The 16,658-nt window shown below is 36.2% G+C and overlaps 1 protein-coding gene and 1 non-coding gene across 3 annotated transcripts in view; both read right to left on the bottom strand.

Moving 5' to 3' along the window:
• Positions 1,498 to 16,658, bottom strand: part of ADAM10 (ADAM metallopeptidase domain 10) — a 160,899-nt gene continuing 145,738 nt past the window's right edge. For both annotated transcript variants that reach the window (NM_001320570.2, NM_001110.4), the window contains 2 exons: positions 12,287 to 12,413; positions 1,498 to 10,330 (listed from right to left, as the gene is read on the bottom strand). In NM_001320570.2, the coding sequence (NP_001307499.1) occupies positions 10,236 to 10,330; positions 12,287 to 12,413 (222 nt within the window). In that variant the 3' untranslated portion in view covers positions 1,498 to 10,235. The remainder of the gene's footprint in view (positions 10,331 to 12,286; positions 12,414 to 16,658) is intronic.
• LOC124903600 (small nucleolar RNA U13) lies at positions 12,821 to 12,924 on the bottom strand. The gene has a single exon (XR_007064827.1). It is a non-coding gene; the product is annotated as a small nucleolar RNA U13 (small nucleolar RNA).

The following is a 16,658-nucleotide window of genomic DNA, read 5'->3' on the forward strand; positions in this document are numbered from 1 at the left end:
ATAAAAATCTTCTTACTCTCCCAAGGCCCTTAATCCCAGTGCTCAGAAATAACTTAACAGCTTTTAATGTATCAATCTAGAGATTTTCTCTGAATAAATTATACATTTTTACAAATGTAAAAAATTTTCACACAAGAAATCAGACCATACATATATATTAATACTTGCTTCTTCCACTTAGTACTTCTTGGACTTCTTTAGAAGCAAATACCTGCAGGTAGCCTGCATTCTTCAATGGTTGCAGAGTGTTTCACTGGAAAGCAAACTTAACCCAGGAACGAAGGGAGGGCGACAGCTAGTTGGCTTGTAAGTAGACTCTATCTCAAAAGCCAGAGGCTTACAAAGTGGATTGTGTACACAGTAGGGAGTGCAAAATGCCTACTGGAATGTGGGAAGAAATATGATCTCCGTTCATTTTTCTCTTATCCCTCAAAATTGTGGCATACTTTAAAACATCATCATAGTGCAGTAACACAGTCATATTATTTATACATATTTCCATATTAGGAGTGTGTACTCAAGATTTTTAAGTGTAAGATACAAGATCAAAAAACTTGGAGACAAGCTGGATGCGATGGTTCATGCCCTTTGGGAGGCCAAGGTGGGAGGATCACTTGAGGCCAGGAGTTTGAGATCAGCCTGGGCAAAACAGCAAGACACCCGTTTCTACAAATTTTTTTAATTTTAGCTGGGCGTGGTGGCATGTGCCTGTAATCCCAACTGTGGGAGGTTTGCTTGAGCCCAGAGGGTGTAGGCTCCAGTGGGCTATGATGGTGCCACTGCACTCCAGCCTGGTCTACAGAAAACCTATTTCAAAAAAAAAAAAAAAAAGTTGGAGACCACTGTGCAAAGCAATTCTGATGAGTGCCACAGAGAGCAGAGTTGCTTGTAAGGGTGAGGGAGTAGGCTAACCAGCCTGTCCTGAGAACCTCTGCAACCCCATTGTCAGTGCCAAGTGTCATAACAGATGTGGAAGTCCCAGCCCAGTGAGAATTCCTTAGGTAAGGAGAACCTGTCCCCAGCAGGGCACACTACAGTACCAGCTATCCAAGAAGTAACACCCAGCGTGTTCTGCAGAACTCAAGACTCTTTAGGGGAGAAAACAGCAGAAGAGTTTACTAGTTTGGGAGCACTGCATATTATAAGATGCTTTTACAGATCACAATCAGTGCTAGCATACTAGAGGCTCTCAGAAATACCTCATTTTTTAAAAAATCAATCAACAGAACAAAATAAAAACCCGTGTAACTCTGCATTTCCATTTGACCCTGGAATTTATACCTCCTGTTTTTTCCTGAATATTTGTCTAAAAACCTGTTATTAAAAAAAAAAAAAAAATACTAGATTTCTGTGAAAAAACAGAAAATGTTAATCTGGAAGTTTACTGCAGGAAAATACCTTCAAAACGTTTAACTTCCACCTTTCACTATGAAATAGCCAAATAAACATTACATCAATGATTTAGCTAAAGAAAACATTCATCCACAAACACAAATCTAGAGTCTCCCATTTTATTTCTAATTTGAGCTTTCTGAATACATTTCTTCTCCTATCAGGAGTTGTTACTTACATGCCCCAAAGCTAAGTTATGCCTTTCCCATTTTTGCAAAACATGGTCGGTATGTTTCATATTCTATAAATACAGTGCATATTAGATTTTGAAAGAAAATTTATCTCCAGGTATGACGGAAGGAGGTTGTGCTGCCACAGGATTTAGAATGAGATATGTTAAAAGTTAAAAATACAGCTGTTGGTAATGTGTTGTAATGAAACTAACTTTTGTGCCTATCTTGTGAAATCAGCTTCATTGCCTATTTACAAAGCACACAACAAAACAAATGTTTATTGAACACCTACTATAGCCAAGCTCAAGGAAATGGAGATTAATAAAGCCCAGTCCTGCAGAGGAATCGAGGGAAAGGGCAATCCAGGGAATAGGAAAAGCACATCCAGAGTCATGAAAATAGCAAAGAACATGACGACAGTCAACTGCCCCATGGTTACATCATTTCTAAAAGCTTGTGACAGCAGCTTGGACTAGTTAGAGCAAACTTTTACCGAAACTCCAAAACTCAGGTCCAGCTTTTCTCCTCTGGGAAGTCATCTTGGCTCTTCCCACTACCTACCTACCATGCTCGATATGCACTTCCTCTGAGCTACCAGGGCATCCTGTGTTTGTAGAGTTTCCAACACAAACCCCTCTGTACTGTAACTGCTGGTTTCTTTCCTTCCGCTAGACCCTCAGCTCCCTGAAGGCACAGACTGCAGTCCTTTGGGGGCTGTGAAAAATTGCAGCAGGTTGATAAGTGAATGGGAGCTGAAGTAGCCACTGAGTGTAAATGATTCTCTCGAAAGTTTGGCTTAGATGAGGCAGGATTATATTGTAATATGGTGTGTGCTATGAGAGAAAGATGTATAAAATTCCAGGGCACAGCAGGTCACATGGACACCTCATTCATCCTGGTAGGAGGCTAGGTGTCTTAATCCTAAATTTATGATAGTCATGATACAGACGCCCAGGTCTGAAAAGCGAAGCGCCTTTCACAACTCCCAGATTGTTGGGCCAATATCCTAAGGAGAATAACCAAGTATGACACCTGCCAAAGTACAAGCCAGCTCTTCAGCAAATGAATGCAATGCAAAGCAAAAAATGAAAAAACATTTAAAAAAATAAAGGAATCTGAATGACTAGGCTGACATACCTTTCCCCAAAGAAAAATCAGCTATCAGTGCCCAGTATATAACCAATCGACATTATTAAAAATTCTATGTAATCTATTTAAACTCTCTTCATCCATCATATTTTGACTCAAGCATCACTTTCATAAGGAATTCTCTGACCTTCCTGATGTCCCACCCTCCTTTCTCAGTCCTATCTCTGCATTATCAGCTGTGACAACGTCCCACCCTCCTTTCTCAGTCCTATCTCTGCATGATCAGCTCTTGGATCACCAAAAACCTCCTCCTCAGCATGTATCACAGCTGGAATTGTACATTTATTCACATGATTATCTGATATCTATCTCACCTACAAGACCATACGCTTCACCAGGGCAGGGAAACTGTTAAGTTCACTACTGTATTCTTATCATCTAGCCAAGGCCCTGGCACAATCAAGTGCCTAAGAAGTATCTGTGAGTAAGGTAACTGGTCAATGCATATCAGCAAATGCATACCATAAAAGCCAAAGAATTTCAAACATGCTCTGATATGTTTCAAGGAGGAGGAAAGGAGGAGAAAGAGGAAAATGGTTAACAGGTCACTTCACTTAATTACAGATGCTACTAGCAGATACTTAAGAAAAATGAAAACTAACCACAATCACAAAACTAAATAATGAAGAATATATTGACACCTTAATTTATAAAAACCGGCCTGTTGTATTTAGAAACACAAAGGCTAACTCCCATACCCAAAGGGCAAGGGAAGAAAACGATAATAAAATATTCATTTAAAATAAAGAATAAAATTGCTTAATGTGTTCAGTATAACCACATAGCCTTCATTTTTCCAAAATGATTTTTCTAAAATTCATGCAAATGGAACCACTTTTTATATAAGACAACCTACACTCTTATCAAATTATTCTCATTTTTTTACACTGAGAACAAACAACTACAGAATATCTTTTTAAAGATCTATTTCCACCTCCAGGGAACATGATCATTTAAACAAGAGAGGGCAGAAGAATCTAGTTTATTGTAGTGAGCTACTTAACATTTACTCCAACGTGGGACACACAGGCTTAATGTGGATAAGCTGACCATACTCCTTGACATGTTTAACAGAGAACAAATATTTTACTTAAGTAGTTAGCTAAGCCCTTCAACAGTGAGAGAGAGAGAGAGAGACAGAGCAAACAGGGACCCAATGGCCTGCTTGCTAAGATTGCTGGATGACTGATAGCTTCAAGAGTTCACCCTAGCAGTTGAAATCAATTAATTATTCATTGTAACTGGAGCAGAATATAATTATGTTAGCTTGACTGGTTCAAGTTTAATTCCACTAAAACAATCATTATGAAAATCATTATGAATACAGGTCATTATCATGAATTACTGCTAAAATAAAAACAGTAATGAATCAGCTTCTATAGGAATTTGATTCACATTTAAAACACTTTTTTTTTTTCTTTGAGATGGAGTCTCACTATTTTGCCCAGGCTGGTCTCTAACTCCTGAGCTCAAGTGATCCTCCCACCTTGGCCTCCCAAAGTGTTGGGATTACAGGTATGAGCCATCACAACTGGCCACATTTTAAAACTTCTATGAAAAATTTCAAATATAAACACAGGTAGAGAAAATAGTATAATAAATCCCCAAGTGCCCATCACCCAGCTTCAATAATTATCAACTCACAGCCAATCTTGTTTCAACTATATCCACACACACCAGCCAACTTCAATCCTTATTTTTAAGCAAAAACTTATACATCGTATCATTTCATTTTTTAAGTGTTTCAATTTGCATCTCTAAAAGGGGTCCTTTAAAAAATGTAACAATACCATTATCACACCTAAAAATAATTAAAAACCTTAATATCAAATATCCACTTTTCACATTTTTCCAATGGTCTCAACAGTTTGTTCAAATCAGTATCCAAATAAGTCCATAAATTGTCTTGATAGATGTAGCTCTTAAGTCTCCTTTAACCCATCGTTGTCTTTTCTCTTTGCATTTCTGTTGTTGAAGCAGGACCATATGTCTTGTAGTTTTCCAGAGTCTGGATTTTGCTGATTGAGTCCCTTGTATATTATTTGTCCCTCTGTCCCCTGTATTTCTAATGAAGGGGTAGTTAGATCAGGAGGCTTCATCATGATGAGATGTGACTTTTGGCAGAACTGCTTCATAGGTGGTATATGTACTTCCATTAGGAGGCACAAAATCTGATTGCTCTCACTTTGTGAGGTTAGCAGTCACTGGCGATTATTGTCTAGATCCATAAATTGTTGGGGGGGTAAAATGGTGATATCCTAATTCTATCATTTCTCTTATTACCTGGAATTTCTTTAAAAGCGTATCCCAAAGGTAACTATAATTCTGTCCACTACCATCATTAACTCACAGAGTTAAATACAATACTATGAGTTTCAATCTCTTGCAGATATTATCCTTGCTGATGCTAAAGTTATCTCAGCCTTGGCCAGTGGTAACTTCTAAGGTGCCTCCTGAATCTTTCTGATCTGGTACAAAACAATGTTTCCTAGGTTCTTCTTGTACATTTCTTTCTTACAGGTGGAATTAGTGATTTATCCAAAGGAGTCTGGTTCCCTTGAAGAAAAATGGTACTTAAGAGACCACAATTAGGGCACTCAATTTGACTTGCATTTGAATTATGTCTAAAGCTAATCAACTGAATTAAGCATGAGTCTTCTATTATTGTTTCTAATACATTCATGTGGCTGCATATATGTGGATTTCTAAGGATGGGACTCTGATTTAATATATATATATATATATATTAAATCGTGGTAGTATAACTTGGTACATCTATCTGGGAGACAGTACCATAATTTTTATCAATGTCCCTCAAAAAACCTTTACCCCAACAATTCCACTTTTAGGAATTAATTTCATTATTAGGCTGAGGATTTTCCTAAGAATTGTTTAAAATTCTTTAGAATTGTTTAAAATAATAAACAATGTGGAACCTACATGTCCAAACAATGGGAAATTGGTTAAGAAAAAAAAAAACATACATCCACAGAAATATTTAGAGTAGTTAATGTGATATACATTATCAATGTACCATTAAATGAGAAAGGTGGGTTACAAAAGTGTGCATATTATGTTTTTGTCACACACATAGAAAAAAAGTAACAAAGGCCAGGTACTCAAATTTTTTTTTTTTTTTTTTTTTTTTTTTTTTTTTTTTTTTTTTTTTTTTGAGACAGAGTCTCGCTCTGTCACCCAGGCTGGAGTGCAATGGCGCAATCGCGGCTCACTGCAGCCTCTGCCTCCTGGGTTCAAGCAAATCTCCTGCCTCTGCCTCCCGGGTTCAAGCAAATCTCCTGCCTCTGCCTCCCGAGTAGCTGGGATTACAAGCATGTGCCACCACGCCCAGCTGTATTTTTAGTAGAGACGGGGTTTCACCATGTTGGCCAGGGTGGTCTCGAACTCCTGACCTCAAGTGATCCACCCGCCTTGGCCTCCCAAAGTGCTGGGATTACAGGTGTGAGCCACCGCACCCAGCCCTGCCAGGTACCCAAATCTTACCAGTGCAAACTACACCATTCTGTTGTGTTCCCACTGCTGGTTTAGGATTTGACTTCCCTGGGTCTGCCCAATCAATAGTACTCCTTCATCTGCTTCCAGATTTCGTTCTTGTTCAATTCACCTTGTCCTTGTTGGATTACCCCACACCCTATCACTTTAGTGTAGATTTCAGGAAAAAGCAAAAACTAATCAGTATTTTGCTCAATGCTCCGTTTTACCTAGCATCCTGTTGCTTTTTATAGAAGAGATGCTCTGAAGAACTTACCAATTATAAAATACATGAATTTCTACTGAAAATAGTACATACATGTATATATCTAAGACACACAAACAATATAGTAATATAAAACAGAAGGGCTAAATTTCTATCCTAATCATATAAAGAGTTGAATACAGAAACAATAGTGAAAAAACTAAACTGGTAATAAACGGAAAAGTATATCAAATGGAAGTTGTTTTTAATCAAGAACACAACATGAGAGATGCTGAAACTGAAGTTGTCCTCTGTGGGGCAAACCAATTGTCTTTCTAGTTTCTAAGAAGTTGAAAGTGGTTTTGGGGAAACTAAAATTTCTTACAACTTTAGTGACTTCTCTAAAGATGAACTGTCCCTGGCAGCTGCTTTAAAACTACATCTGGCTTGCACCCTGGTTTTGGGAAACCTTGACCCTTTAAATATGGATAATGAATATCTCTTCTTGTACTCCTCCAGGTGAACTGTCCAGGTTTGTAATGCTTGACACTCTGATACCTTCAATTAGAAATACTTAATAAGAAATGCCTTCTCATGCACAAGCCCCGAAATTTCATAGTTGCCAAGGACACCAATCCCATCTTTAAGAAATAATAATAATTAGGTCTTACTACAGGGACAAATACAAGGACTGAGGGTCGAGTAGTTTGCTCCGCTTGGACAAATCAGATTTCACTATCCTAAGACTGTGACAAACACGAAGTACCCAAAGCATAAAGTGTTGAAGACACCTCACAAAACAAGACTGATCAGAGAAAGTTGTCATTTCCTTAAATAAATGCTTCCCCAAACTGCATGACATTGCTTGACACTACAGGGAATGCTAAATCCAGAAGCAGTCAATAAATTTATTTTATTTCTGATTTTGTTTGTGAATTGGTACCTGAATTTATAAAACTGGGGAGGGAGGGATGGAGGGAGAGAGGACGGACTGTAAACAGAATTTAAGCATTCAATTACAAGTAAAAATAACTAATTTATAATTACCCAAATCAATCAATATTGAGAGTTTCATAAATAACTAAACATAATATACATTTGATGCTCCTAAATTAACAAAGTAATTCACAAAGTATTACATATTTACTCATTTAACAAGTATTACTTATAGCTAACCTTGACTAAAAAAAGAATTTGAAGCAGATTACCTCATGCAGGGAATTATTCTGGGCTTACAATTCCTTTTCTAGGTAACACTGAAATGTCAATTCTCTCCTTATTTGCTATGAAGAGAAAAATGATGGCTCAAAATTTTAAACAAACTTATCATTAAACTAGGCTTTTTAAAATAAATGAGGTACTTAGCATTCAAAACTTTGAAAAACACATAAAAACAAGACCATAAGTTTTCAAAATGACTCACCTCTTCCACCAAGACAAGCACTGAATATTGATTAGAAACAATGTAATGCAGTTGAGATTAGTTGGGTGTTTTAAAAAGGTTTATTGTGTGTACGCAGAGTATCTAACTGGAAATTTTCTACATGGATTCCAAAGTATTAAGAATAAAGATAATCTATACTTTTGTAGGAAGAGACAACTGTAAGAAAACACTGCCTTGTGGGAAGCTTCTTGTGATAGTTCTCAGAGTTCAAAGAGTATAGAACCTTCAAGTTGATTTAATCGTCTATTTATTAATGCATTTCAAGTTTCAAAAAACCTTACATCTTTGCACAATACTTTATTTTTTGCAATTTTTAGTAAAAATTTCCAAAGTGAACAAAAAAAGATACTGTATAAAACACAGTGGACATTAAAACTGACAGTAGTATTAGATCTCATTTGTCTTGATCCTTTTATATTACCACATCTTGATTCGCAGTGGAAAGAGTTCAGTGCATGTATCTCTTTTCAGAAAACATTTAACTTAGACTCAAAATAAAATAGGGCAGTGTGTGTACCTGCCAAAATCCTACCACAGGATAACATTACAAGCAAAAAATTTACATGTTCCAAAGTCTACCACACTCAAGAAGTTACTAAGAACTCTTGCAGAATAAAAGTCACCATTTTAGAAATGCAAACCCACTTCCAACCTTTGCACAGTCCAAAAACAAAGGCATTTAAATGATTTAAAAGCAATTACATACATATCTACCTACTTGTTTGTTTAGAATTATTTATAGTCTATCTGGGGTTTCATGTACAAAATTTGTCTCTAAATCATGTACAAAAAGCTGTATTTTGAAAAAGTCACCACATACTGTACAAGTTTACAAGGAAGAGATCCCGTTATTTTCTCTAGCATTTTTGGCCTTGCTGGCTTGCGTCACATTATGAGAATGATTGTGTAAACCTTATACTCTTAAAAAAAAAAAGGAAAAAAAAAAACCCAAAACATAGAAATCTTTACAACTTTCTCTAAATTTGCCTCCTATGTGAAGTCAGGAAAATCATAGCTTTACTTCTAGTTGAAGTGATGTAGTTGGAAAACAGAAGCAATAAATATGTCACAAGCTTCAATTTTTGTAATGCCCCTTCTATTTCCTGCATAGCAATAAGCCTGTTAATACATTAAATGTTTTTGCTTTCTCTTTAAAATGCCAATTATTTACATCTGTTTCAAAAATAAATTTGGAATGGGACATTGTGCTGTTTCACCTTCAATGCTGTTAAAAATTTTAGGAAAAAAAATGTCAGAAGGCCTATCTACAATTTTAACTACTACTTAAGCAAATTACTCATCTTTAGTGGTTACCAATGATCAGTGATGATATGCTGAAAAAACCGTTTAAATATTTTGATAAAGACACAGCTTTTCTTTTCCATATCAGACAGAAAACATAATTAGCATATTTCAGATATATGAAAAACACAAATAAGTAGGCTACAAATAAAAAGAATCATTTCATTGACATAATTTCTATCAAAGCATGAATAAAATTTCACCTATTAATTGAAAAATGGAATTGAATTAGAAAGTTTAAAAGACGTAAGCAGAAACCAGACATCTACATCATGAACTCTGAAGTAGTATGTGCTGCTATGTCCAGTTTGCACAACACTTAACTGTGTTCTTCAGTATAGTCACTTGTGCCCGTAGCAGCCATGTGATAAAGAAAAAATGAGTATCAAAACCAACTCCATCGTAACAGAAAGGTAAATTGATTTTCATTTCAAAACTGCCTGTGTAAAGCATTACAGAATCCTGGACCACTGAATACCACCATTCTCTGTTATCCTGAGTATGTCAATTAAACAGTAATTTTTAATTAAGAGCGGAAAAATTTTATAATACAAAGAAACATCCATATTGCAATTTCTGTTTACAATTGCACACAGAAGTACAGTGTACGTAAGAAATACATGTCTGCATATAACAAGGTATGTACATTGGCAAGTGATGTCTCCAATGTTGAGGTGGTCGAGCCTCCTAGCCTTGATTGGCAGTTGAAAAAAATATATTTATTTCAATTTGTGGTAAAAGTTTATTGAGAGCCAAGTTTGCCTGCAAGTGAAGAAAATGCAGCAACGAAGAACAGGGAACACGGGGCACATAATAATATTCTAAGACTTTGTGCCATTAAGTTAAAAATATCTGTTCATAAGAAAATTGGGTTCCTTTTCCACCTCCCACCCCCAAATTGGAATTTTCAGGCTTTAAAATTTAAGTAATTCCACCTGGTCTGAGGATATGATCTCTTGCCATTTTTTCTTCAACTGTTACTTGTGAGGGTTTAGTTTGGAGATGATGACTTAATAGGTTTCTCTTTGGAGTGAAGTTTTCCCATTGTAGGCACTAGGAAGAACCAAGGCAAAAGCTGCAGTTAGCGTCTCATGTGTCCCATTTGATAACTCTCTCGGGGCCGCTGACGCTGGGGTTGCTGAATGGGCTGTGGAGGTCTCCTCCTCTTTAAAGTGCCTGTGAGCCACAAATAAAAGCAAAGCAGATTTATTTATCATGAGCTTTTTAATCTTTAAAAGCAAAGCTGCTGTTTCAATAAGAAAGGTTTTAGTTCAGTGCTGTCCAATAATATGGGCCATCAATGTAATTTAAAATCTTCTGATAGCCACAATAAAAAAGGTTTAAAAGGTGAAATAATTTTAATAATATTTTTTATTTTATTTAAATTAATATAGCCAAAGTGTTATCATTTCAATATATAATCAATACAAAAATTACTAACAAAATATTTCTTTTTTTATACTAAATCTTCAAAGTCTGGTATGTATGTTAATTAAAACAGCACATTTCAATGGAAACTAGCAACAATTCAGTGCTCAGCAGCCACAAGTATTAGATTAATCCAGATTAATATCACAGATTCTGGACAGAATCCATATGAGGGAATTACTAAGTGTCTTTGAGCAAATGCCTTAACCTGAGACTCAGATGCCTACACTGTAAAACAAGGATGATAATTAACGTATATAGCCTGTTGTAAAGATTATATAATTCATATAAAAATGTTTAACACTTTTTGTGAGGGTTCAATAAATGACAGCTAGTTTTCTAAGTTTTTAAAGGTGCTATTCACTTAAAATGAAACCAACATACACATAAAATGTTTCACTGAATAAGACCACAATTGGTAACAGCATCTAAAAAGTGTCATGTGGCCCTTAGAACTTCCTTAAATACTAACATAAGTTCCAGAGTGCTAACTAACATTGTGAACTTAAGAAAAGCAATGATATAAAAATCAAATTTCCTCTAACTCTCACTAAGATACTGTCCTAGCATGACTACTGGGCCATCTTGCCCCAGACAGGTAAATGCAGGTGAACAACTGAGGGAAAACAGAGAAAAAGTGTAAGAAACCTAGTTTTGAACTACTTTGTATAAGGTAGTGGATTTGCCTGAGGCAAGACATCTTATGAGAAGTCTGAGAGCGGCAGGAGAGGGAACTGCTGTCATTTAGTTCTGGCTCTCCCCTGCTGCTGCCCTGAGACAATGTCTGTCCTCACACCTGTAGAGAATAGCTACGAATACCTTGGAGAAGGGGAGGGATAAACAGAGGGAACTAAACAATACGAAGGGTTTATTTCCTGTCCTTTTCTCCTTCCAATGCCCACAGCTCATCTAAAGAGGGTTCTTCCTCATGCTATGTCTCCCTGAGAGGTAAAAGGTGGAGACCAGAACTAAAGAGTTGTTTTCAGGAATGGAGAATACTTGACTGTGCTTATTTGATGAATGAATCCTCTACTCTAAGACTTTCCCACAGACTGGGATCTGTATGTCCCCACAAGCATCACCCTGGGGGAAAATAAGCTTATGTGCCAGAAAATATTTCAAGAGCACAAACACTAAAAACGATAAGAGAGCTGGGTGCAGTGCACGCGCCTATAGTCCCAGCTACTTAGGAGGCTAAAGTGGGGAGGATTGCTTGAGCTCAGGAGTAAGTCCAGCCTGGGCAACACAGTGAGAGAAAGAAAAAAGAAAAAGAAGGAAGGGAGGGCGGGAGGGAGGGAAGATGGAAGGGAAGGAAGGAGGAATGAAGGACAACAATATGAGAAGCACAACTATTAGAATAGAAAGATCAACAATTTTAAAGTAGTTCACCATAATCATGGCAAGGGAATATGTTAGAATATATTTAAAAAAAAAAAAACAAGAAAACAAATACCAAGCAAAATTTAAAATTTCTAGTTCTAAATATTTTCAGACACTCAGATAAATTAGCATTAACTTAGCAGTCACTGGCCAGATTGGATTGACAAAAAGCACACAAATATCAACTAAATCATTCATCCAATAATCCCATTCTTACGGAGAAAGTACTGTAACATTAGTTACTACAGACTCATTTATAATTCAATTCTACCTGCTAAACAATTCTGAGTTACATAAATATGTATCTTGCTCAAATATTCTTACCTGGAAGTGGTTTAGGAGGAGGCAACTTTGGATTACTACTTGGAGTATGAACACTGCATATCTTAATAAATCCAGCCATTAGCATGATCAGAGCAATTCCCATAAGTAATACTGCCCACCAATGAGCCTAGAAATAAACAGATTTTTCCACTGAAAAAAAAAAAACTACAAAATATTTTAGAGTATCTTTTACAGTATATAAAACATAGAATAGAACACAGTATATTGTAATTTTTAAAGAACATTTGTTTAGGAGTTGTATACATATGTTAGATATTTGCACATATATATTATTTAAATATAAAAAAAAGTTTAAAGGAGAAAATGGAAATCACCCATAATTTCATCTCATAGAGGAAACCGCTCAATCTGATTTTTTTTAGTCTCTTTACATATAACAACATTTGTCATACACATGAACACAAATACAAAACTGGGGTCATCTTGCATATAGTTATATTGCATTTTCCCATGTTATTAAATATTTTCTGGTTTAAATATTGCCTTTGTTTTTTCCCCTTACTCTTTTTTCTCCCTCAAATGGATAATGTGCCAATGCCCTAACAAGGTTTGAGGAAGGCACATCTCACATATGAGTGTGCAAACCCAATCATCACACTTATGAACTACAAAAGGATCTCCTCTTACTCTTATAGACTATGTTTTGATTGCGTTTATACTTTCCATGGCTTAGAAAGCATGTAACTTGCTTTAAATTCTACTAGTGAATAGATTTAAAAATTACTCTTTAACCTACATTGCTTTCTAATTATCAAAGTTAAGACTGAAATTCTATCTCTTTGAGACACCCTTTTCCTCTTTTATTTCATTTGGAATTTGAGACTCGGACTAGTTATGAAATTACTTTTTATATACATTAGTTTTCATTACATTATATATAATATCTTTATTGTATTCATTAGTTTATAGGCTATCTTTTTAAATATGAAAAGTGGAAGAAGATACATATTTTAGCAGCAGGCAAAGTTCATCCCGTCTTAGAAGAAACCAAAACTTCTATTTTAACCTGACCTATATTAAACAAATCAATTAGCCAAACAGAAAAACCTTCAAAAATTATTGATAAATTTATAGGAAAATTACTGTGTCTAGTCTTAAATTATATTTTGCAATTCCAAATATTCAAACTTTGTTTTAAGACCACATGTACTAATAAACATCATACAAAATATTTACAGCTTCAAAACTGAACCTTTACATTTATTTAACACAGGTTACTGTAACATATATAATTACTACTAATAGTTTCCAGCAAAACTCCCATTTAAGAAGACTGTCTATGACTTAGGGACTTACAACAAACTGGGTACTACTTCTACACTGTTTAGTTTTTCCAGCAGTGTTTATATAATTAAAGTAATACTAATGCTAATTTTAGCATTAATGAGAGTAATGCTAAAATTAAAAGGCATGTTGTAGCAAAATATCCCAAGCCACTTTTTCTTTGTGTACACAAAGCCTTTCCTACTTTCTAAACATTTGTTTTATTTTGAAAGAGTCTCAAACTTAAAGAAAAGTTGCAAGTACAATTCAAAAGTTCCAAGTACCTTTTAAAAACCTGAGGCCGGGCACGGTGGCTCCCAGGTGGCTCCCAGCACTTTGGGAGGCCGGGGCGGGTGGATCACCTGAGGTCAGGAGTTCGAGACTAGCCAGGCCCACATGGTGAAACCCCGTCTCTACTAAAAATACAAAAATTAGCCAGGAATGATGGTGGGTGCCTGTAATTCCACTATTAAGGAGGCTGAGGGGGGAGAATCGCTTGAACCAGGGAGGCAGAGGTTACAGTGAGCCGAGATTGTGCCACTGCACTCCAGCCTGGGCAACAGAGTGAGACTCCACCTCAAATAAACAAACAAACAAAAACAAAAAAGAAAAACTTTTAAAAATCTGGAAGCACCTCAGAGTAAGTTGCTAGCACCATGCTGTTACTCTTGAACATTTTAGCATATAATTTCTACAATATAAGGGTGGTTTCCTAGATAACAAGACAATCATCAAAATCAGGAAATCAGGGCTGATACATTACTAACATTTAATCCTCAGACCCCATTCAGGTTTTGCCATTTGTCCCAATACTATCCAGTTCAGAATCGTGTGCTATATTTAGCCACCATGTTTCTTTTCTCTCCTTTGATTTGGAAAAATTCCAGTGTTTCCTTGGCTTTTATGACCTTGATACTTTTGAAGATTACAGGGCAGTTATTTTGCATGGGAATGTCCTTCAATTTGGGTTCCTCTGGTGTTTCTTTGTGATCAAATTCAGGTCACACATCTTTGGTAAGAATATCACAGATGCTGTGTTCTCGCTGCATCCTATCAAGTAACACGTGATTTTTATTTCATTACTGCTGATGTTAACTTGATCACTGGATTAAGGTGTTATCTGCCAAATTTTACCATGATTCTTGTTTCTCTTTTGTAGACAATGAAAATTTTGTAGGGACCTAATTTGGAAGTATGTAAATATCCTGTTCTTCATCAAACTTTCAATGTATTCATTTATTTATTCCCTCATGGTTTCCTATTTTTTATAAATATATAATCAATTACTGACATTATTGTGTTTTTTGGACATGTCCTCATCATTCTTTGAGCACTTTCTTACTTTCTGGCCCAACAAGAAGTTCCAGATTTATCCTGTTCTTTCCCTACCCCAGCCTTGGAACCTGCCAAAGAGCCCTGGTTTCTTTTAGTCCTACCCTTCCTATGTAGACACCTTCCTCATCCTACTTGCACTCTTGACATCCCATGCCAGTCACTCCTCCACAGGGGTGCAATTCTCACCCTGCTTGGGCTCTGAAACCCCATACTGGTAGTGTTCCCCATCCCACACCTTCTGAACCTGGTCAGCTTCCAACACTCTGCTCTGTGCCACTATAGCTCCCCAACTTTGGCGTGGATGCCTACCTTGCTTGGGCTCACCTAATGGCTTTAGGAATTAACTGCTTCAAAAAAGGAGAGGGAATAAAAAAGGGAAAGAGATATATACATACGTACATATATATGCACACACACACATATTCATATATATATTCAATTTTAAAATCAAACTTAGAATGATTTACACTTGAGTGTCATTTCTCAGTCTTATTTAATTCTCAGATTAGATCTCTATACAGAAGAGTCCCACAGACACCTTTCTTCTCTTTATTTTCATGTTTATTGTTCAATCTGTAAAAACTGTATCATGGTTGTCCCTCACATTGCTTGTTATTGCAGGGACGGCAAACTCAAAAGCTTACATGGAAGGTAAGGTGGAATGCAATTCAACCTTACTGCTTAAAGATCTGATTTTTCAAGAGAAGCAATATATCCGAATTTTTATTTAAAATCTATTTTTAAATGCTGGCAAACTTGTGAGAAATTTCTTAAAACAATGTGTAGAATACACAAAACATGCTGACAGGGCTGAATCTGGCTTGGAATTTAAAACTTTACAATCTACTTTCTAAAAGCCACTTCTTGAGACTGCCAGATTTTTTTTTAAGTTTTATTTTGTTTTCTATAAAAATTGTGTTCAGAGCTCTGCTCTCCTTGTTAGTCTTTAGGATGATGTTCCCATTCCTTTATTATATAGGTATTCCATAGACTCCTATTGTTTTTTGTTTTTATTCATCCTCAAATAACAGACCTGCTACTTATCGCAAGACAGGGTAGAAGGCCACCCTCAGTCTGTCAAAGCAGTACACGACCATTTTGAGTAATGCAGAAAGTTTAGCATCCCTGGCCCCCAACCATCAAATGCCAGTAGAGCCCCTTCAGTTACTCTGACAACAACCGTACATTTCCAAACACCTGCTGGGGAAGTGGTAACACCTCTAATGTGAGCCAATCCATGAGTACAAAGGCTTAAGAGTTTTCCTACTAGCTTTCTCACGATGATGGGCAAGTTGGGTACAGGAGACACACTTCTCTTCCTAAAGTCATTATCATCTTCAATATATTTCCTTCCTTCATCTTTACTTTCATTTTTATGAAAATATGGCCATCAGTGTTATGGCTACCTAAAATATGGAACTGACCATGTTACTCCTTCATGTCAAACCCTTCTTCGAATGCTTCCCACCAAAGATTTCCAAGATAGACCACTATGTAGGAGAGAGGAAAAAAAGCAAAAGCAAAAACTTGAGCACACGATAAAGTACAGCAAAGTGTATATGATTCCACCTTTTTAAAAAGTAAATATCCTTACAGTGGTATAGACAGTTTCGAAGAATACACAAGAAATCCATCCTAGAAAGATTGGGGGTCCAGGGTTAAAAAAAAAAAAAAAAAAAAAAAAGGCCTACTTTAGAATGTATTACTTTGTCAACTAAAAAAAGAATAATCAAACTTTTCAAAAGAAAAAAAG

Source organism: Homo sapiens, chromosome 15, assembly GCF_000001405.40.
Source record: "Homo sapiens chromosome 15, GRCh38.p14 Primary Assembly".
Lineage (NCBI taxonomy): Eukaryota > Metazoa > Chordata > Mammalia > Primates > Hominidae > Homo > Homo sapiens.